Below are 19797 nucleotides of genomic sequence, written 5' to 3' on the forward strand. Positions count from 1 at the left end.
CCGTGCTGCTGCCCACCTCGGTCCTGAGCAGCGGCTTCTTTCCTCCGCTTGGCAGGGGTGGGGTAGGGGCGCACAGCCAGCAGCCCTCCTCAGAACCCCTCTCCACCTCCCCCCTCTCCCCGGGAAGTCATTAGCCCCATTGCCACAGGGCTTAGAGATCCTCTCTGATACAGGCTGCTGGGGAAAGGGGAAGATAATGTGTCTCATTTCTCCCCATTGGGAAGTGAAACAGACACAGAGGGTGGCCAAAAGGTCCATTTTATTGTCATACAATCGTGGTCACCGTGACAAGGAGGGTGGCAGCGTGGCCAGGCACAGGATGCACCCAAGGAGAGCAGCACAGTAGCAAAACCAGAGCTGCGGAAAGTGGCGAAGCGGCGGCTGCCCCTACCCCCCACCTTGTCCACATTCTTCCACCTGCTGGTGTCCACCTCTGCCCACATCTCGGATCCCATCCCAGCGAACCCCAAACTCACTGTCAACATTCTCCTAGCACCTACGCATTGCCCAACAAGAAGTTCAAGCTAACATCATCCCACAGAGTGAAGTTCTAGGTCATGCTCTAGGCTTGGGACACCCGGGTTCTATTCGCTGGGAGGCTCCTAGCTACTTTGAATGACTTAGAAGTCACTTTGATCTTTCCCAGCCTTCTGTTTTCTCCCTCTGCCTTTGATGTGGGGAACCAGTATTGGAGACAGCGCTGTGCAGATGCAGCTGTTACTACTTGCAATTAAATAGAAGACTCTCAAAGTTCTAAAAGCATAAATGATCCAGAGAAAGGGAGTGGTGTCCAGAAATACCAGGAGGTGGGAATTCCAGTTGCACTAGAAGGCGGCCTGGTTGGAACCAGGAGACAGCCCCTATGCCAGGCTGAGGGACCCGCCCTCCACTGTACCAAACTCTTCAGCTAGAACCACACCACACACACACCACCACCACCACCACCACCCCGCCCGGCTCGGGTGAGCTGGGGCACGGGGGAGCCTGCGAAATAGCAAAGTTGTGCAAAGCAGGAGGAAACCCCAGTGAGAGAGGCAGGCTCAGAAAGTGCATCACCAGATGAACAAGGACCCAAATGGGGGAGCATTCTAAATACATTTCATTTTACAGTATCACTCTCTCTCTCTCTGGATTGCACACTGGGCTGGTGATGGGAAGGAAAACAGGGACAGAAAAATGGGCACTGCGGTGTTAAGCGTCGTAGAGATCCAGCGAGGATGAGGATGAGGGGCTAGAGAGAAGTGGGGAGAGGGCACTGATCTCTGGCACCAGAAGCTTGAGCAGGGGGAGGGGATTGGGGTGTGGAGGGCAATGCAGGACCAGTTTTTAGGGCTTTAGAAAGGGCAGAAGGAAGAAAAGAAACGCGGATTGGGCGGCTGCGCTCGGGAACGAGGCTGGGCATCCCACACACTCCTGAGTTCTTCCACCCACGAGGGGGCAGAAGGGAGAAGCCAGGAAAGGGGGAGTTCACGCCCCGGGTGAGGTGATGGAGAGGGAAGGAAGGACTCTGAAGCCTGTGCGGGGACCAGTTCTTTGGAAAAACAGAGGGTGGATAACAGCAGCTCAAGGCCCCCACCCCCAGCCCCCACCTAATAGTCCGCAAGTTCAGGTCAGGGAGTGGGCAATGGTGTTTGGGGGAGCTAGAGGCAAGATAGTAAGGGCAAAAGGGACAGAGTGGGGGGACCTGCGCCGGTAAGGGCAGGAGGGCAGGAGTCAGAGGGGACTTCCCAGGAGACGCAGCGTCGGAAATGGCAGGAAAGAGGCTGGCTGGGGAAACTGCGGAAGGGGGCGGGTCTTTTTCCCCCTCCCCGCCAGAGGAGAGGCCTCAGATGTCGGCCTCCAGCAGGTACTGTTCAGTATAACCCTTCACCAGCTCCAGTCCCAGCCCGACCTGGCAGAAGTCAGCCAGCTGTGACCACAGCTGGGGCTCCAGGAAGAGCTGGCACATGACGTTGAGGCCAACGAGGCGCGGGGCCTGGCGCTGCAGGTGCCACAGCAGCTGGCTCTGCACCTGCGCGCCGTCGCTACCGAAGGCGTCGATGTTGAGATAGCGCCAAGTGCCGTCCCCTCCGTGCGGGATGGGGAAGGGGCGCGTGCACAGCGTGAGCACGCGCGGGCGCGCGCGGCTGTCCACGCGCCACTCCAGGCCCTTGGCCGCCAGCAGGCGCAGGTTGCTTTCGCTAGGCCGGTAGGGCTGCCAGTCCTGGATGATGGTCCCGCCTGGAAGCACGTCGCGCTGCACGGAGGGTGACAGCAGGAGGCGTGCCACGTCGCCGCCTGCCTCGGACACGGCCTCGGTGGGCAGCGGCGAGAAGGTGCCAGAGGTCCGCAGCGCCGCCAGCCGCGCGCCCAGCCCGGCCAGCAGCGCGGACGCGTTGAATCGGACCAAAAGGATGCCCTGCGGGGGGCACGAGTGAGCGCGGGGAGGGGGGGCGCAGCAGGGCTGGCGAGCCCGGCGCCTCTCGGCAGGCATCTTCACTCCCACGTTCACGCCCACGGGCTCCCACCTGGGTCCCTCTGGAGGAGCGACCGTGAGGGCTCCGGGCCGAGTGGGGTATGGGAAAGCCTGGGTTTCAAGGGTACCAGACAGGGACCAGGGGCACGGGCTCCCAGTACGTGGATCCCCAAGAAGAGGTGGGATCAGTATGGAGTAGCCAGGGAACTGAGGGTACGGGTCCCCGGGTCTCCAGGGACGTGAAAGCCAGGGAGGCCGATCAGTCAGTAGGATTGGGAGGAGCAGAGGGAGGACAAAGGCTCAGAGGAGATGGCTTGGGGCCCTGAACAGAGGCAGGATCCTAGGGGAGGCAGGGTCCCCGAAGTTGGGAAGTAAGGACTAGGGTTTCAGGCTGGGAGTCGGGAGTTTGACTTCCCCTGGGTCAAAGGGTCTGGTAAGGACTGGGAGTCCCAGGGCAAGGCTCATGGGCCGCGCCACTCGGTAAAGCCCAGAGAGAGAGCAAGCCCGTGTTCTGCTGGGGGTGGGGAGGGTCTCCCCATATGCCCCAGCAGAGAGGCCCAGCCATCCGAGCTCCCTGTCCTTCTCACCTGCTTGGTGATTAGGCGGTATTTCTTCAGCTCCCGGGGGCCCAGCTGGTCGTCCCGGGTGAGCCGTGCCACCTTGACCCCCGGGTGCTGTCTCTTGACCAGCTGCGAGCAGAAGCGCTGCAGCAGCCCGGCCACGCCCTTCCCGCGCTCCCAGGGCGCCACGCGCAGCCCCTCCACCAGCACCGTCTCCCCGGCGTCGATCACGTTCACCGACTCCAGCGCGATCTGCGGACCGAGGCCGTTAGCGCGGGGCCCTCCCCGCCTGCGCCCCTGCCAGGGCTGTCGGTTCACTGGGCTCTCCTCTTCCCACACGCTGAGCACTCCGCGTCACCACCCGGGCACCAGGCCAGGCCTGGGGTAGCACGGCACTTGGGCCTCAGATTACAGAGCCGGCAGAACAGTCATTCGCCGGGGCTTCGTCCACCTTTTTATTTTTATTTATTTTAAATTTAGGACAGGGTCTCCTCACCCAGGCTGGAGCGCAGTGGTGCTATCACAGCTCACTGCAGCCTCAAACTCCTGGGCTCAAGCGATCCCCTACACCCCCAAGACTTCCTAGTAGCTGGGACAACAGGCACGCACCCCTACTCTCGGCTTTTTATTTATTTTTATTTTTTGGAGACAGGGGTCTCGCATGTTGCCCAGGCTGGTCTGGAACTCCTAGCCTCAAGTGATCCTCCTGCCTCGGCCTCCCAAAGAGCTGGGGTTACAGGAGTTAGCCGACGCGCCCGGCCCCTTCCACCTCTTGAGATGCTCCAGCTCCGAGTGTGTCAAGTTCCGGACCGCTCACCACGCCCCTTCCTTGGCTCCTCCCCCGGGAGTTTGCCACGCCCCACTTCCTCTTAGCTCCTCCCCCAGCCCAAATCTAAGCTCTTCCTGCTCCCACCCCTAGCCTACCCTCTCTCTCCTGCTCCCCACCTCCTTTGCTTTTACCCCCAGAAATTCCTCCGGTGGATCCTCGAACTTTCAAACGCTCACCTGTCCCTCTGGTTCCTCTGCTTTAGGAGTCCTCCACCCCACCCTCACTGACATAGCCCCTGGATCCGCACTGCACGCCCTGCACTTTGGTCCCAAAGCAGGCTCTATTTCCGCAGCCTCCAGAGGAAGGCTGGGGAGAAGCTCTCATCCTCCTCTTCCTAAGATCCACGCACCCGCAGGTGGCTTCACCCCATGTCACCTGGGCCGTGCCCCCGGGCTCACCACGCCTCCGTTGCGCTTGGCCAGCACCACCGTGCGGTCGGGGTCCCGGAGCCAGCTGTGGTAGCGGCTAGGAAGGTAGTCCAGGCCGCCGTAGATGCCCCCCGAGATGGCCAGCACTTCCTCAAACTCCCGTTCCGTGGCCACCACGAAGTCCAATGGCTCGGCCTCAGCCTCAGGCCCCGATCCCGACCTGGGCTCGGCCTCCACCTCCTGTGGCCGGGTTTCAGAGCTTGGCTCTGCATCTCGGGCAGTCTTCTTTTCCGGCTTAGGGACCTCTGAGGTGGCTGTGCCACAGCTGGCTTCCAGCTTCATGACCCTGCAGAAAAAAAGAGAATTCAGCACCTGGATCAGCCCCTTTGTTTCCACATCTGGGCCCCTGCACACAAACGGTCCTAATGCCCCTTCCTACACAAATAGCCTTTCTTTTTCTTTTCTTTTATTTATTTACTTATTTACTTATTTATTTATTTATTTTTTGAGACGGAGTCTCGTTCTGCCGCCCAGGCTGGAGTGCAGTGGCGCGATCTCGGCTCGCTGCAACCTCTGCCTCCCCGCTTCAAACTATTCTCCTGCCTTCACCTCCTGAGTTGCTGGGACTACAGGTACGTGCCACCATGCCTGGCTAATTTTTGTATTTTTAGTAGAGACGGAGCTTCACCATGTTGTCCAGGCTGATCTTGAATTCCTGACTTCAGGCGATCCTCCTACCTCAGCTTCCCAAAGTGCTGGGATTACAGGTGTGAGCCACCACATTGGCCCCTTTCTTCATTTCTTCTTCTTATTTTTTTTTTAATACAGATAGGGATCTCACTACTTTGCCCAGGCTGGTCTCGAACTCCTGGGTTCGAGATCCTCCTACCTTGGACTCCCAAAGTGCTGGGATTACAGGTGTGAGCCACTCTACCTGGCCCACACCCTTTCTTTTCTGCTGTCCACACAGACCCTGGGAGTGGAGGTCTCCCAGCTCCCTCCCTCTTCCCACCAGCTTTCAGAAATCTCAGCTCTACCCACCCCACTCTTATGGGATGCTCCCTAACAGTCAGAAACTTAGAACCCTGTGAGATCCCCATAGACCAGCCCCAGATCCAGGGACCCAGGCAAAAGAAAAAAGGCACTTGGGGGTAGTTTTAAAAAAAAAAAAGAAGAAGAAGGCTGGACACGGAAACTCATGCCTGTACTCCCAGCACTTTGGGAGGCCAAGGCAGGTGGACTGGTTGAGTCATGGAGTTTAAGAACAGCCTGGGCAATATAGTGAGACTCTGTCTATAAAAAAAATTAGCCAGGCATGGTGGTGCAGTGGGCCTGTAGTCCCAGCTGCTCTGAGGCTGAAGTGGGAGGATCGTTTGAGCCAAGGAGACAAAGGTTGCAGTGAGCCGGGATCACACCACCGCACTCCAGCCTGTGTGACAGAGAGAGAACCTGTGTCAAAAAAAAAAAAAAAGAGGCACACTCCTTCAAGGATCCCATCACCTCTCTAAGACCTCTGCAAGGACAACATGAGAAAGAAACTCCCACTGTCACCCCTCTGTCCACAAGAAAGTTCCCAGAGAACAGTGGAGGGCTCACCCTCACCCCATTTCCTGCCACTACCAGCTACAATCCCAGCCAGGGCCAAGGGGGAGGGTGTAGACCCCAAATATCCTCCATATTGCTGCCCCAGTTCCCTGTCCCCCCACCTCCACCTCTTGACATACACATTCAAATATAAACAAGATAGATAGCTCCACTAGAAAATGTCAAGCCAGCCTAGCATGGCGGCTCAGCCGAGGCGGGTAGATCACCTGAGGTCAGGAGTTCGAGACCAGCCTGGCCAGCGTGATGAAACCCCATCTCTACCAAAAATACAAAAATTAGCCAAGCATGGTGGTGGACACCTGTAATCCCAGCTACTAGGGAGGCTGAGGCACAAAAGTCACTTGAACCCGGGAGGTAGAGGTTGTAGTGAGCCTGAGCCGAGGTTGAGCCACTGCACTCCAGCCTGGGCAACAGAGTGAGACTCTGTCTCAAGAAAAAAAAAAAAAAAGAAGAAGAAAATGTCAAACCATTCTTTCTAAGCCAATCAATGCCCCCCGCCCCCGCCCCTTTCCTTCCTTCTGCCCCTCTTCCCCATAGGGAGACTTGGGCTCTGTCCACTCCAGGACTAGGAATTGTTTGAAAAGTGTTCTGTCGGAGCTCCACCAAAATGAAAGAGAAAGCCCCCTATCCAAGTCCCAGCAACTTCTATTTCTGGGCCTGTCTCTTCCAGATCAGCCAAATCAACCAATCAAATCCCCCCTCTCTCTTTCAGCCAATGATAATGCTCACCTCAGATAACCTACGTTAAGCCTCATTAACCAACATCCCAAGGGCACACAGACCAGCTATTCTGTGGGGGTGATATTGACTTATTGACTTAACTGGAATTTTTATTTTTTTTTTTAACAAAAGTCTTACCTAGGTTTGGGGAAGGTTGACCAGCAGTGGGACCAAGGAGTGGTTTGCACTTCCAAGCCATAAACAGAGCTTGCCTAAACGCGGTATGCTTGCTATACAAACCAAGCTTCAAGACAAGAGTTCTATCTCCCTCTTTGTTTTCTGATTCTTTCTCATCTGATTCCAACACCTGGAGATTACCTGGATATGGAGCCAGAATTATCAGAGAGGAGGAAGCCAGGCTCAGAGGATTTAGATCCTCTGCTGGGGCCATTAGAGACCATCAGGTTCAACCCATTCATTTCATAATCAAGGAGATTAAGAGCCTTGCCCGAGGTGACTCAGTCTGGGCAGAGCCAGGCTAAAAGTTAAGTTTCCTTGGCTTCCAGGCCAGGGGGGAGACCTCTTATTATTATTGTTGTTGCTTATTTGTTTATTTTATTTTGTTCTTTTGAGTCGGGGTCTCGCTCTGTCACCCAGGCCGGAGTGCAATGGCATCATCGTAGCTCACTGCAGCCTCAACCTCCTGGGCTCAAGCGATCCTCCCACCTTAGCCTCCCGAGTAGCTAGGACTACAGGCATGTGCCACCACACCTGGCTACTTTCTAAAATGTTTAATTTTTTGTAGAGATGGGGGTCCCACTATTTTGCCCAGGCTGGTCTTGAACTCCTGGGCTCAAGTGATCCTCCCACCTCCACTTCCCAAAGTGCTGGGATATTAGGTGTGAGCCACCATGCCCAGCCAAGATCTGTTTTTAGTGTATCTGGATCTCTGACCCCAGCCTGAAGAGCAAGGAGGGGAACTACTGGGTCCTTGAACAGGAGTTGAAGGGCCCAGGTGGGATAAGCTGATGAAGAACCAGAGATGCGGTTGCTAGGAACTCCCTCACTGTCTGGCCCACACTGTCAGCAATCCCTATGCCAACACACAAGCCTCCATGCCTGGAACCAGCCCAAGCCCCAGACCTCTTGCACCACGCTCTGAGGACAATGGGTCCCAGAGAACAGCAAGTTAGCTCCTGACTCCATCTGCAGCTCCAGGCAACATGAACCAGCTGTTCATGGGTCCCAGGAAAATGCAAGCTAGTGGTTCAGTGGTGCTTCCAGCAATACCCTCACTACCCCCAAAGGTGATAAGTTGTGAGCAACCGGTAGACTGGAACCCACCTGACTCATTCAAGACATTTGGCTCCAGTCTCCTTCCCTTGCTTACAGTGGGGAGACCCTTTCCAAATGGCATTTATACGTCTCAGATAAGGTTGTTTGTCGTGGGAGGTAAGGGTAGGGGTGGACGTGGGGAGTTCCCAGAGTCATGGGGAGGGAAGAACTTTCCAATGCATCCCCCATCTTTCAACCCAGGCACCACCTCTACCCCTGTTCCATTTTGGGGGACATGAACAAAGGTTCCCAGGTCCTTAAACCTTGGAGGAGGCGAGTAATAAAACAGGTCAGCGACTCCAGGCCAAGCCAAAGCTGTGGGCTAGCCTGTAACCCTTGCTTCACATGGTGACCACTTCCTACCCTCCAGTCCAGCACCCTCCAGCCTGGCTCCGTGGAACTCTTAACTCTCATCAGATGTCTAGGCAGAGGCGGAGGCAGCTGGTGAGTCCAGGGCACTGTCAGAAATGTAGTCCAGGTATCTCCTGGACCAAGCGCCCTCCTAAAAGAGGGACAGCATTTCTTGGCCGGGCGTGGTGGCTCATGCCTATAATCCCACCACTTTGGGAAGCCAAGGGAGGCGGATCATCTGAGGTCAGGAGTTGGAGACCAGCCTGACCAACATGGAGAAACCCTCTCTCTACTAAAAAAAAAAAAAAAAAAAAAAAATACAAAAGTAGCCGGGCGTGCTGGCGCATTCCTGTAATCCCAGCTACTCAGGAGGCTGAGGCAGGAGAATCGCTTCAACCCGGGAGGCCGAGATTGTGGTGAGCCGAGATCACGCTATTGCACTCCAGCCTGGGCAACAAGAGTGAAACGCTGTCAAAAAAAAAAAAAAAAAAAAAGAGGAATAACATTTCTCTCTTCATGTCTATCCCCACATCCTTGGGGACATTCTTTAAATCTCATAAATATGAATGATCTCTTTGGGGAGGGGGTGATCAGAGTCATAGCTGGGCATGATCGGAGTCAGAGCTGGGAATGCCGGCAGCCCACCCACCCGCACCCCACTCCCACCACACCCCACACACCTGAAATATCGATGCCCTTGAGGCCGATGGCTTCTTGACACTGGGGGAGGGAGGAGAGGGAGGGAAGGGAGAGCCCAGTCGCCGGAGAGGCGGAGACAAAGAAGGCAGCTGCACAAAGCGCCCAAAGATGAGAGCGAAAAGGACGGGAATGGAGGCAGAGAGCAGACAAAAGCGGACAGGAGATGCGGCCGCAGGGGACAGGCAGGGAAGCCGGAGGAGGCTTCGACACCGAATCACAGACATGACACCTCGTGACTCTGGGCCCAGCAGATGAAAAAAAAAAAATCCTAGCACGCACCCCCTCCCCTGGGACACTGTAAATAGAAAGCAGCGTGACACACCCCCTTCGCCCCGGGGTATGGGGGGCGGGGATCCGTGGAGGGGAAGGGGTCAAGGGGAAAAGAAAGTCAGAAAAAAGGCCGTAAGAGAACAACCTTGGAAACAGAGACGGGGAGAGGCGATGAAGTGGGGGCGGGAGAGAAGGCCTAGGGGGTGGGCAGAGGCAGGGGCCGAGGAAGATGGCCCAGCCAAAGGGGGTGGGGGGAGGGCCCCAGAGGGCCACAGTAGTGGAGAAGGGGGGGCTGTCCTGCAGGGTCTTCCCGAGTGAGGGTCTTCCCTCTGCCTCTACCCCGGATTGGGGGCTTGGGCTTGGGGGAGAGGGAGATTGCAAAGGGAGCGATCTGCTTGGCGGGGGTTCCCCTGGGCGCCGGACCCTGGGGACAGGTGGGAGCGACATGGCAACAGAGGGGGGCGGGGGAGCGCTTCTGGACACCTGAAGCGCAGCCTCTGACTCAGTTTTCTGGGTCTTCGGACTGGGAGGGGCTGGGCAGAAGGGGGCGCAGCCGCTTGGTCCCCCTGAGGGGCGGTGGCCTTCTGCTGCCCCATTCTGCGGTGGAGGAGCACGCTAGCCCCCTCCCCAGTCCCCAGGCCCGGCCGCCCCCCTACCTCGCCGGAGCCGGAGCTGGAGCCAGGGCCGAGATGCCGCAAAGCCAAGCGGGGCGGGCGGCGGGCGCAGACACCCCCGGTGCCAAGAGAGAGGTCCCTTTGGAGCCCCCAAGAGTCAAAGGAGGATGACGCGCGGGGACTCGGCCGCGCTGTCGGAGCCCGACTCTAACGTCGGTCAGCGCTGGGGCAGCGCCGCAGCTCCGTTGGCGACGCGGGCCGGGGCGCCCATCGGTTCAGGGGTTCGGGTGGCACGCGTGGCTCCCCCGGCGACGCTCCGGCGGCAGCTTCGAGGGGCGGAGACCCCGGCGACGCGGAAGAAACCCGGGACGGATCCGGAGCGGACTCGTGCCCTGCTGGCGGGGCCGGGGGTCGGGGTGCGCCCTGGGCAGCTGGGTGGCCTCAAGCCCTACTGGCGAGACTCCGCCCTGTGTCCCGGCTGGGGAGTGGGACTGAGGATGGTGGTGTCTCGGGTTTTGGTGGTGGTGATGCTGGTGTTGCTGGCTTAGTTATCTCCCCACCCCACGCCCAGCACCTCCGTTCTCTGTCCGGGGGTCCCCCACTGCCCTGAAGTACCCCTCCTCCAGGAGCCACCCCTCAATGGAATCTCCTCTCTCCATTATAAGAGCGGCTGGGAAGGGGACTCCGAGCCTTCGTCCCCGGAAACTGATAGAGGGAATCAGAAACCCTAGAACACCGGGAAGGCGAAGAGACATCAAGAGACAGAAGTTGAAAGGCTGAAAAGGGCAGAGGGAGGCCAAGATCTCTCCATCTTCTCACCACTGCGTGGGTGCCTGAGCACCCTGGTTCCCCGGGTGCACAAGGCCCCTAAATCCACAATGTACCCCACGGGACAGCAGGCAGAAAGACCTCCAGGTACACAGCGCACACCCAGGCACATTCACACAGACCTCTGCACTCAGGAGGCGCTGCACCCCACGCTGATCCTGGTGGCTGGGGAGGAAGAGGGAAGTGTGGAGCTGGGACCCGGGTGGGTGCAGCGCTGCCCCTGCTCTAATAAGGCGGTGGCCCAGGCTCTTAACTCCTACAAGGTTCTCCATCCCACCTATAAAGTGAGCTCAAGACTGGGTGCGGTGGCTCAAGCCTGTGATCCCAGCACTTTGGGAGGCCGAGGCGGGGGAATCACTTGAGGTCAGGAGTTCGAGACCAGCCTGGCCAACATGGTGAAACCCCGTCTCTACTAAAAATACAACAATTAGCCTGGCCTGGCCGGGCACGGTGGCTCATGCCTGTAATCCCAGCACTCTGGGAGGCCGAGGTGGGAGGATCACCTGAGGTCAGGAGTTCAAGACCAGCATGGCCAACATGGCGAAACCCCGTTTCTACTAAAAATACAAAAATCAGCCGGGCACAGTGGCCTGCACCTGTAATCTCAGCTACTTGGGAGGCTGAGGCAGGAGAATCGCTTGAACCCGGGAGGCAGAGATTGCAATGCGCCGAGATCGTGCCACTGCACTCCAGCCTGCGCGGCAGAGCGAGAATCCAACTCAAAATAAAATAAAATAATAAATAAAGTGAGATCAGAACACCTTCAGTTCTACCCTGTAAGGAGCCAGGAAAGTGATGGACAAAGCCCTTTAGCAACTGTAAACTGCTTTGGAGATGCAGGGAATAATTTTTTTTTTTTTTTTTTGAGAGGAGTCTCACTCTCGCCTAGGCTGGAGTGCAGTGGCGCGATCTCGGCTCACTGCAAGCTCTGCCTCCCGGGTTCATGCCATTCTCCTGCCTCAGCCTCCCCAGTAACTGGGACTACAGACGCCCGCCACCACCCCCGGCTAATTTTTTGTATTTTTAGTAGAGACGGGGTTTCACCGTGTTAGCCAGGATGGTCTCGATCTCCTGACCTCGTGATCCGCCCGCCTCGGCCTCCCAAAGTGCTGGGATTACAGGCGTGGGCCACCGTGCCCGGCCGATGCAGGGAATAATGTTAAGGCCTTTCAAGGTCTGCTGGAGTCCTCTCTCCAGGGGCCGCCCAGCTCTCATGCTCCCCCTACCCTCTCCCCCACCCCAAAATTCATTGTTCACCCATCTTATTCCATTTTTTCTTTCTTTACTTTCCGAGGTGATAACTTCATAATCAGGCAAACTGATCCCATTGGATGTGCCAATGCAATAAGAAGGAAGGTCATGTTCCTGGAATCCCACATACAGGAATTCCAACCGAGGGTTAAAGGGCTAAACAGGAATAACACCAAGGGTTAAAGGGATGAGAATCCCGACTTCTAGGCTGAGGCAGGGCAAAATGCAACTGACAAGTTACTCAACATTTTTTAATAGGACTTCCCCCCATTTCTGATCTCTGAAAGTGCTAACACACTGTGCGTCTCACCAAACTGCAGATTGCAGTTAAGGTGCCATATGCTTCATGATGGGAAAGAACTTCAAAAAGTTACAGGTTTCAAGGAAAAAATCACTAGTGGCCAAAGGGAGAGACCATCATATGCTAATCCCGCCCCTTTCGCCAGAAGCCACACCTTCCACCAACAGAAACTCTTGGATTGGCCCAACCCTCACACACTTCCAGTTCCATCAGCCATTCAGAATTAAAAGTTTACCAACGTTTCGGCCCCTCCCCTTAAGTCCAAGCCACTCAGAAGCAAGTTGTCACTGTAAGTCCCGCCTCCAAACAGCTCACTGGGCCAATGGAAAGCCATCTTGTTCCAGGCTTCATTCTCACACATCTAGGAGAGCCGGTTTTCCTCTCAGCTAGAGAACAAGTGGCTTTCAGCTGCCTGAGTGCTCAGAGGTTGCAGGGAGGCGGCCTATTCTGGGATGGAGGAGAGATCTGGCTGAGAGGAGACAGCCCTGGCGTGGCTGGCCTAGGTTCCAGGATTACCCTCTACCCAGTAGAGTGGTGGTGATGTGGGGTGAACCACTGAACCACCCAATGTTTACTAAGCACTGTAGCTTAATCTCCATAACGCTGTAGGGGAGGGCGGATTGTTTAGCCATTTTACAGAAGAGCAAAGTATATTCTGAGAAGGCTATGGACCAGATCCCATAGGAATTTTTTTTTTTTTTTTTTTTTTTTTGAGACAGTCTCTCTCTGTCGCCCAGGCTGGAGTGCAGTGGCGCGATCTTGGCACACTGCAGCCTCCGCCTCCCGGGTTCAAGCGATTCTCCGGCCTCAGCCTCCTGAGTAGCTGCACCACCACGCCCAGCTAAATTTTTTTTTTTTTTTTGAGACGGAGTTTCGCTCTTGTTGCCCAGGCTGGAGTGCGGTCGCGTGATCTCGGCTCACCGCAACCTCCGCCTCCCGGGATCAAGAGATTCTCCTGCCTCAGCCTCCCAAGTAGCTGGGATTACAGGCATGTGTCACCACGTCCAGCTAATTTTTGTATTTTTAGTAGAGACGGAGTTTCTCCATGTTGGTCAGGCTGGTTTTGAACTCCCAACCTCAGGTGATCCACCCGCCTCGGCCTCCCAAAGTGCTGGGATTACAGGCATGAACCACCGCACCCGGCCATGCCCAGCTAATTTTTGTATTTTTAGTAGAGACAGGGTTTCACCATATTGGCCAGGCTGGTCTCGAACTCCTGACCTCAAGTGATCCTCCTGGCTCAGGCCTGTAATGCCAACACTTTGGGAGGCCGAGGCAGGAGGATCTCTTGAGGCCAGGAGTTTGAGACCAGTCTGGGCAACATAGTGAGACCTTGTCTCTACCAAAAATAAAAGAATTAGCCGGGCACAGTGGTGTGCACCTGCGGTCCCAGCTACTCAGGAGGCTGAGGTAGGAGGATCGCTAGAGCCCAGGAGTTTGAAGTTGCAATGAGTTCTGATGGTGCCACTGTGCTCCAGCCTGGGTGACAGAGCGAGACCTTGTCTCTCTCTACACACACACACACACACACACAGACACACACGTATATATGTATATATATGTGTATCTATGTGTGTGTATATATACACATACATACATATATACACACATATATATATGTATATATGTGTGTGTATATATATAGAGAGAGAGAGAGAAAGAATAAAGCGCCAATCAGTATTAGTGCCATTAATAATGGAGATAGGCCAGGCGCCGTGGCTTACGCCTGTAATCCCAGCATTTTGAGAGGCCGAGGCGGGTGGATCACTTGAGGTCAGGAGATCAAGACCAGCCTGGCCAACATAGCAAAACCCCTTCTCTACTAAAAATACAAAAATTAGCCGGGCATGGTGGCACGTGCCTGTAATCCCAGCTACTCTGGAGGCTGAGGCAAGATAATCACTTGAACCCAGGATGTGGAGGTTGCAGTGAGCCGAGATAGTGCCACTGCACTCCCGCCTGGGCAACAGAGAGAGACTCGGTCTCAAAAAAAACTTTTTTTTTTTTAAGAGACAGGATCTTGCTCTTTCGCCTAGACTGGAGTGCAGTGGCACAAATCATAGCTCACTGCAACCTCAAACTCCTGGGCTCAAGAGATCTCCCACCTCAGCCCCCTGAGTAACTGAGACTACAGGCACATGTCACCACACCCAGCTAATTATTGTATTTTTTGTAGAGGCAGAGTCTTGCTATGTTGCCCAGGCTGGGCTTGAACTCCTGGTCTCAAGCCATCCTCCTGCCTTGGCCTCCCAAAGTGCTGGGATTACAGACATGAGCCACCTCGCCAGGCCATAATAAGCCACCTTGAATCTTCATACTCGCCAAGCTGAAAGCCTGGGCATCTCAGGATTCTGGTGACCAAGACTTCCTCCTCTGGATTTTTGCTTTTGAGTGTTTCCCTCTTAGACCCCTCTTCTCCCTGTCCCACTGTGAAATCATTGCGAAGTCTTCTGCCATCCCCCTTATCACACCCCATTCGGTGACCTATCTGGACAATTCCCCAATCTATGAATCAAGTCTCGACCTTCCAGGCTGTCTCCAACTATCTGTGGAACATCTGTGTTGTGATGAGAGCAGTGAAATAAAAGATGTGAATGATTTACAGGAAATGACCTGGATCCCTCATAAGCTTTTTCTCTTTTTATTTTATTTTTTAAATTTTTCATAGACACACCATCTTGCTACGTTGCCCAGGCTGGTCTCAAACTCCTGGCTTCAAGTGATCCGCCCACCTTGGCCTCCCAAAGTGCTGGGATTACAGGCGTGAGCCACCACCTCTGGCCAATACCTTGCATGCTTTACAACATTCACAATCAGCTCCTCTTGCAGACAGAGGAAGGAGACCAGAGATGAAAGGGTTAAGTAATTGGCTCCAAGTCACAGAGCCAGTGAGCTCCTAAAAGGCTTGCTCAGAATGATAGACTAAAAGGAATCATCTAGATCATCCCACAAGGCAGATATCAGAGATGCCACACTCTCCTGGTGAGTCATGAAGTCACGGCTTTCTCAGCCTCAAAGAGGATGTAGCACCCAACTTCCAGTAAGGATGAAATAAAGTAATGTGTGTAAAGTGCCTGGCAGAGCATTCCTGGCACAACATTTCAATTGATGGTAGGTATTATTATCCAGCCAACTGGAGCAGCAATTCTCACATGGGGTGTATCACAGCCTGTACTTTGGAATTCAGGCATAACAGAAGCCTCTTGTTTATTCTGCAGTCAGGACTGTCAGGGCTCGAGGAACACCCACAGGAACTTCAGGAATCAGGCAAGAGAAAGAGGGAAAATCACTACGTGTGACCATGAACTGTTTTATTTGATTTTTGGAGACAGGGTCTTGCTCTTTTGCCCAGGCTGGAATGCAGTGGCACAAACACAGCTCACTGCAACCTCAAACTCCTGGGCTCAAGTGATCCTCCTGTCTCAGCCTCCCAAGTAGTTGGCAGCACCGATGCGCACCACCAAGCCCTGCTAATTTTTAAAAAAGTTTTTGTAGACACAGAGTCTCACCATGTTGCCCAGACTGGTCTTGAACTCCTGGGGTCAAGTGATCCTCCTGCCTCGGCCTCCCAAAGTGCTGGGATTTCAGGTGTGAGCCACCGCACCTGGCTATAAACTATTTACTTATTTATTTATTTATTGAACAGAGTTTCGCTCTTGTTGCCCAGGCACGATCTTGACTCATTACAACCTCTGCCTCCTAAGTTCAAGAGATTCTCCTGCCTCACCCTCCCAAGTAGCTGAAATTATAGGCATACACCACCACACCTGGCTAATTTTGTATTTTTTAGTAGAGAAGGGGTTTCACCATGTTGGTCAGTCTGGTCTCAAACTCCTGACCTCAGGTCATCCATCCACCTTGACCTCCCAAAGTACTGGGATTACAGGTGTGAGCCACCACGCCAGGCTTAATATAAACCTCTTTTAGAACAGGGATGATGTCACAGTTATTTTTATGCCACTGGTACTTAGGTACTTAGTTCGGTTCTTGGCACATAGTAGGTGCTCAATTCGTATTTCTGAATGCACGAATGCCTCCAGCCTATGTCTGCAGTTGGGGACAGTGAGACAGACGGATCACTTATCTCAGGTCACCCAGTTGACCTGAGGTAAAGATAAAACCTGACTCCTGGTATCCCTGTTTTCTGTTTGTTTGTTTGTTTTGTTTTTGTTTTTGTTCTGAGACGGAATCTCACTCTGTTGCCTGGGCTGGGCTGGAGTGCAGTGGTGCCATCTTGGCTCACTGCAACCTTTGCCCCCCGGGTTCAGGCCATCCTCCTGCCTCAGCTTTCCGAGTAGCTGAGATCACACTCAGCTAATTTTTTTGTATTTTTAGTAGAGATGGGGTTTCACCATGTTGGCCGGGCTCTCAAGTGATCTGCCCGCGTTGGCTTCCCGGTCTGTTTTTTTTTTTTTTTTTTTTGAGACAGAGTCTCCCTCTGTCCCTCTGTCCCCCAGGCTGGAGTGCCATGGTGGTGGGATCTCAGTTCATGGCAACCTCTGCCTCCCGGGTACAAGTAATTCTCCTGCCTTAGCTTCCCAAGTAGCTGGGATTACAGGCACCCACAACCACACCCAGCTTTTTTTTTTTTTTTTTTTTTTTTTTTAAGTAGAGATGGGGTTTCATCATGTTGATCTCACATGTTTCATCACATTTAGTAGAGACAGGGTTTCATCATGTTGATCATCACCTGATCTCAAGTGATCCGCCTATCTGGGCCTCCCAAAATGCTGGTATTACAGGCATGAGCCACTGTGCACCCTGATTCCTAGTATCCTAATCCCAAACCAATCCATAGCCCAGCCTCACACTATACTTCTGAAGGTTAGAAGTGTGACTAGCGTGCTTAGATGTACATGAAGTTTCACATCTGTGCTCCTCCAATTGTCAGCTTCCTCTTTCCCATGCACATAAACCAATACTGGCTACAAGGTCTGTTCATTTATTCAGCAAGCATTATTGTCATCTTCTCAGGGCCTGGTTAATTCCACTTCTTCTTACAAGTAGCTCACTTTAGCTGGCTGTTAAAAATACACTGTTTTGAGCCGGGCGCCGTGGCTCACGCCTGTAATCCCAGCACTTTGGGAGGCCGAGGCGGGCGGATCATGAGGTCAGGAGATCGAGACCATCCTGGCTAACACGGTGAAACCCCGTCTCTACTAAAAATACAAAAAATTAGCTGGGCGTGGTGGCAGGTGCCTGTAGTCCCAGCTACTCAGGAGGCTGAGGCAGGAGAATGGCGTGAACCCGGGAGGTGGAGCTTGCAGTGAGCCGAAATTGCACCATGGGACTCCAGCCTGGGCGACAGAGCGAGACTCGGTCTAAAAAAAAAAAAAAAAAAACCACTGTTTTATTTATTTATTTGTTTATTTTATTTTATTTTATTTTTGAGATGGAGTTTCACTCTTGTTGCCCAGGCTGGAGTGCAAATGGCGCTATCTTGGCCCACCACAACCTCCGCCTCCCGGGTTCAAGCAATTCTCCTCCCTCAGCCTCCTGAGTAGCTGGGACTACAGGCATGTGCCACCATGCCCAGCTAATTTTGAATTTTTAGTAGAGACAGGGTTTCTCCATGTTGATCAGGCTGGTCTCGAACTCCTGACCTCAGGTGATCCACCTGCCTCAGCCTCCCAAAGTGCTGGGATTACAGGTGTGAGCCACCATGCCTGGCCTAGGCTAGACCAGCCTGGGCAACATAGCAAGACTTTGTCTCTACAAAAAAATTTTAAAAGTAGCCAGGTGTGGTGGTGCACACCTGCAGTCCCAGCTACTCAGGAGGATGATGTGGGAGGATTGCTTGAGCCCAACAAGTCAAGGCTGCAGTGAGCCCTGATCGTGCCACTGCACACTGCAGCCTGGGTGACAGAGCGAGATCCTATCTAAAAAAAAAAAAAAAAAAAAAAAAAAAAGCCCAACACTTTTTTATCTGGAGAATATTTAACATACACAAAACCAGAGAGAATACATATTTCAAAGTATCACTTTGTATATGATAAATATATATAGTTTTAGCCAGGTGTGGTGGCTCATGTCTGTAATCCCAGCACTTTGGGAGGCTGAGGCGGGTGGATCACTCGAGACTAGCCTGGCCAACATGGTGAAACTCCATCTCTACTAAAAATACAAAAATTAGCTAGGCGTGGTGGGGCACACCTGTAATCCCAGCTACTTGGGAGGCTGAGGCAGGAGAATAGCTTGAACCTGGGAGGCGGAGGTTGCAGTGAAAATTTACAGAACAATCTCATTTCTTCCACAAATAAGTTGGAAGAAGAGACAGAGAGAGACGGAGAGGAAATCTACAGATTAAAAGAAAATTAAGGCTGGGCACGGTGGCTCACACCTGTAATCCCAGCACTTTGGGAGGCTGAGGCAGGCAGATTGCTTGAGATCAGGAGTTCGAGACCAGCCTGGCCAACATGGTGAAAACCCATCTCTACTGAAATTACAAAAATTAGCCCGGCTGGGCGCGGTGGCTTACGCCTGTAATCCCAGCATTTTGGGAGGCCAAGGCGGGTGGATCACGAGATCAGGAGTTCAAGATTATCCTGGCCAACATGGTGAAACCCCATCTCTACTAAAAATACAAAAATTAGCTGGGTGTGGTGGTGTGCGCCTGTAGTCTCAGCTACTCGGAAGGCTGAGGCCGGAGAATCGCTTGCACCCGGGAGGCGGAGGTTGCGGTGAGCCAAGTTTGGGCCATTGCACTCCAGCCTGGGCAACAGAGTGAGACTCCATCTCAAAAAAAAAAAAAAATTAGCCGGGCGTGGTGGCATACACCTATAATCCCAGGTACTCGGGAAATTGAGACAGGAGAATTGCTTGGACTCGGCAGGAGGAGGTTGCAGTGAGCCGAGATCCCACCATTGCACTCCAACCTGGGTAACAGAGCGAGATTCAGTGAAAAGACAGAAAGAAAGGAAAAAAGAAAAGAGAGAAAGAGAGGAAGGGGAGGGGAAGAAGGGAAGGAAGGAAAAAGGAAGGAAGGGAAAGAAAAAAAAAGAATCTTGTGGCCAAATGTGTGGGGGTTTTTTCCCCACACACCAAGTAAGCAATCAATTCTGCAGCCGGTGTCTTTCAACCCAGTTCAATCTGGACACTACCTGGAGGTAGTGATAGATCCCACGTGGAGGCTCAGTCCCACAAGACTGTCCCCCACTACCAATGCCACTCACAAGCCTCAGGTTATTCTACCTGCACGTCTGACTGACCGGCTATATACTGGGGGTCCCATGACCCCCTGTTGGGTTCAATTAATTTGCTAGCACGACTCACAGAACTCAGAGAATCACTCACTTATATTCACCTGTTTATTATAAAGGATATTACAAAGGTTACAGATGGGCCAGGTGTGGTGACTCATGCCTGTAATCTCAGCACTTTGGGAGGCTGAGGTGGGAGGACTGCTTGAGGCTAGGAGTTTGAGACCAGCCTGGGCAACATAGCAAGACTCCATCTCTAAAAATAAATAAATAAAATGAACAAACAAACAAACAAAAACAAAGGATACGGATCGGCCAGAGGCAGTGGCTCAAGTCTGTAATCCTAGCACTTTGGGAGGCCAAGGAGGAAGGATTACTTGAGCTCAGGAGTTCGAGACCAGCTTGTGCAACATGGTGAAACCCTGTCTGTACAAAAAATAATACAAAAAATTAGCCAGGCATGGTGGTGCAC

The 19797-nt window shown here is 53.5% G+C and overlaps 1 protein-coding gene across 3 annotated transcripts, besides 9 other annotated features; it reads right to left on the reverse strand.

Annotated features, from left to right (window-relative positions):
• Nucleotides 1–242: 242 nt before the first annotated feature.
• NAT16 (N-acetyltransferase 16 (putative)) lies at nt 243–10040 on the reverse strand. 3 transcript variants are annotated; one of them, NM_001369694.1, is made up of 5 exons: nt 9789–10040; nt 8844–8883; nt 4243–4558; nt 3043–3267; nt 243–2398 (listed from the first exon to the last, which is right to left on the reverse strand). In NM_001369694.1, exons 3-5 carry the CDS (start codon nt 4552–4554, stop codon nt 1826–1828), a joined length of 1110 nt encoding a protein of 369 aa, NP_001356623.1. In that variant the 5' UTR covers nt 4555–4558; nt 8844–8883; nt 9789–10040; the 3' UTR covers nt 243–1825. The 3 variants fall into 3 exon arrangements, with proteins under 3 accessions (NP_001356623.1, NP_940973.2, NP_001356624.1); NM_198571.3 differs by lacking the exon at nt 8844–8883; NM_001369695.1 differs by lacking the exon at nt 9789–10040 and having other exon boundaries at nt 8844–8983.
• Nucleotides 1300–1914: an enhancer, noted in NCBI's record as "H3K27ac-H3K4me1 hESC enhancer chr7:100814834-100815448 (GRCh37/hg19 assembly coordinates)". NCBI's record gives its function as "activates a minimal SCP1, AML or CMV promoter by ChIP-STARR-seq in naive H9 embryonic stem cells {active_cell/tissue: H9 hESC(naive)}" and the evidence as "EXISTENCE:reporter gene assay evidence [ECO:0000049][PMID:30033119]".
• Nucleotides 1915–2528: an enhancer, noted in NCBI's record as "H3K27ac-H3K4me1 hESC enhancer chr7:100815449-100816062 (GRCh37/hg19 assembly coordinates)". NCBI's record gives its function as "activates a minimal SCP1, AML or CMV promoter by ChIP-STARR-seq in primed H9 embryonic stem cells {active_cell/tissue: H9 hESC(primed)}" and the evidence as "EXISTENCE:reporter gene assay evidence [ECO:0000049][PMID:30033119]".
• Nucleotides 2529–3142: an enhancer, noted in NCBI's record as "H3K27ac-H3K4me1 hESC enhancer chr7:100816063-100816676 (GRCh37/hg19 assembly coordinates)". NCBI's record gives its function as "activates a minimal SCP1, AML or CMV promoter by ChIP-STARR-seq in primed H9 embryonic stem cells {active_cell/tissue: H9 hESC(primed)}" and the evidence as "EXISTENCE:reporter gene assay evidence [ECO:0000049][PMID:30033119]".
• Nucleotides 3281–3493: a silencer, noted in NCBI's record as "fragment chr7:100816815-100817027 (GRCh37/hg19 assembly coordinates)". NCBI's record gives its function as "represses an EF-1alpha promoter that drives an FKBP-Casp9 reporter gene in an ReSE screen in K562 erythroleukemia cells {active_cell/tissue: K562}" and the evidence as "EXISTENCE:reporter gene assay evidence [ECO:0000049][PMID:32094911]".
• Nucleotides 3793–4298: an enhancer, noted in NCBI's record as "H3K4me1 hESC enhancer chr7:100817327-100817832 (GRCh37/hg19 assembly coordinates)". NCBI's record gives its function as "activates a minimal SCP1, AML or CMV promoter by ChIP-STARR-seq in primed H9 embryonic stem cells {active_cell/tissue: H9 hESC(primed)}" and the evidence as "EXISTENCE:reporter gene assay evidence [ECO:0000049][PMID:30033119]".
• Nucleotides 3942–4001: an enhancer, noted in NCBI's record as "active region_26400". NCBI's record gives its function as "activates an Ori minimal core promoter by ATAC-STARR-seq in GM12878 lymphoblastoid cells {active_cell/tissue: GM12878}" and the evidence as "EXISTENCE:reporter gene assay evidence [ECO:0000049][PMID:35858748]".
• Nucleotides 9821–10543: an enhancer, noted in NCBI's record as "H3K4me1 hESC enhancer chr7:100823355-100824077 (GRCh37/hg19 assembly coordinates)". NCBI's record gives its function as "activates a minimal SCP1, AML or CMV promoter by ChIP-STARR-seq in naive H9 embryonic stem cells {active_cell/tissue: H9 hESC(naive)}" and the evidence as "EXISTENCE:reporter gene assay evidence [ECO:0000049][PMID:30033119]".
• Nucleotides 9915–10209: a silencer, noted in NCBI's record as "tiled region #2161; K562 Repressive non-DNase unmatched - State 20:ReprD". NCBI's record gives its function as "represses a minimal TATA promoter and a strong SV40 promoter by Sharpr-MPRA in K562 cells {active_cell/tissue: K562}" and the evidence as "EXISTENCE:reporter gene assay evidence [ECO:0000049][PMID:27701403]".
• Nucleotides 12277–12494: a silencer, noted in NCBI's record as "fragment chr7:100825811-100826028 (GRCh37/hg19 assembly coordinates)". NCBI's record gives its function as "represses an EF-1alpha promoter that drives an FKBP-Casp9 reporter gene in an ReSE screen in HepG2 liver carcinoma cells {active_cell/tissue: HepG2}" and the evidence as "EXISTENCE:reporter gene assay evidence [ECO:0000049][PMID:32094911]".

This window comes from Homo sapiens, chromosome 7, assembly GCF_000001405.40.
Source record: "Homo sapiens chromosome 7, GRCh38.p14 Primary Assembly".
NCBI lineage: Eukaryota > Metazoa > Chordata > Mammalia > Primates > Hominidae > Homo > Homo sapiens.

Bases quoted from the DNA above. Each gene is read 5' to 3' on its own strand.
- NAT16 (NM_198571.3), bottom strand. From the start codon at position 4,554: ATGAAGCTGGAAGCCAGCTGTGGCACAGCCACCTCAGAGGTCCCTAAG. The intron at 3,268-4,242 runs GTGAGCCCGGGG...CTCGGTCCGCAG, and splicing joins CCAAGCGCAACGGAGGCGTG to ATCGCGCTGGAGTCGGTGAA. The intron at 2,399-3,042 runs GTGAGAAGGACA...TGCCCCCCGCAG, and splicing joins ACCGCCTAATCACCAAGCAG to GGCATCCTTTTGGTCCGATT.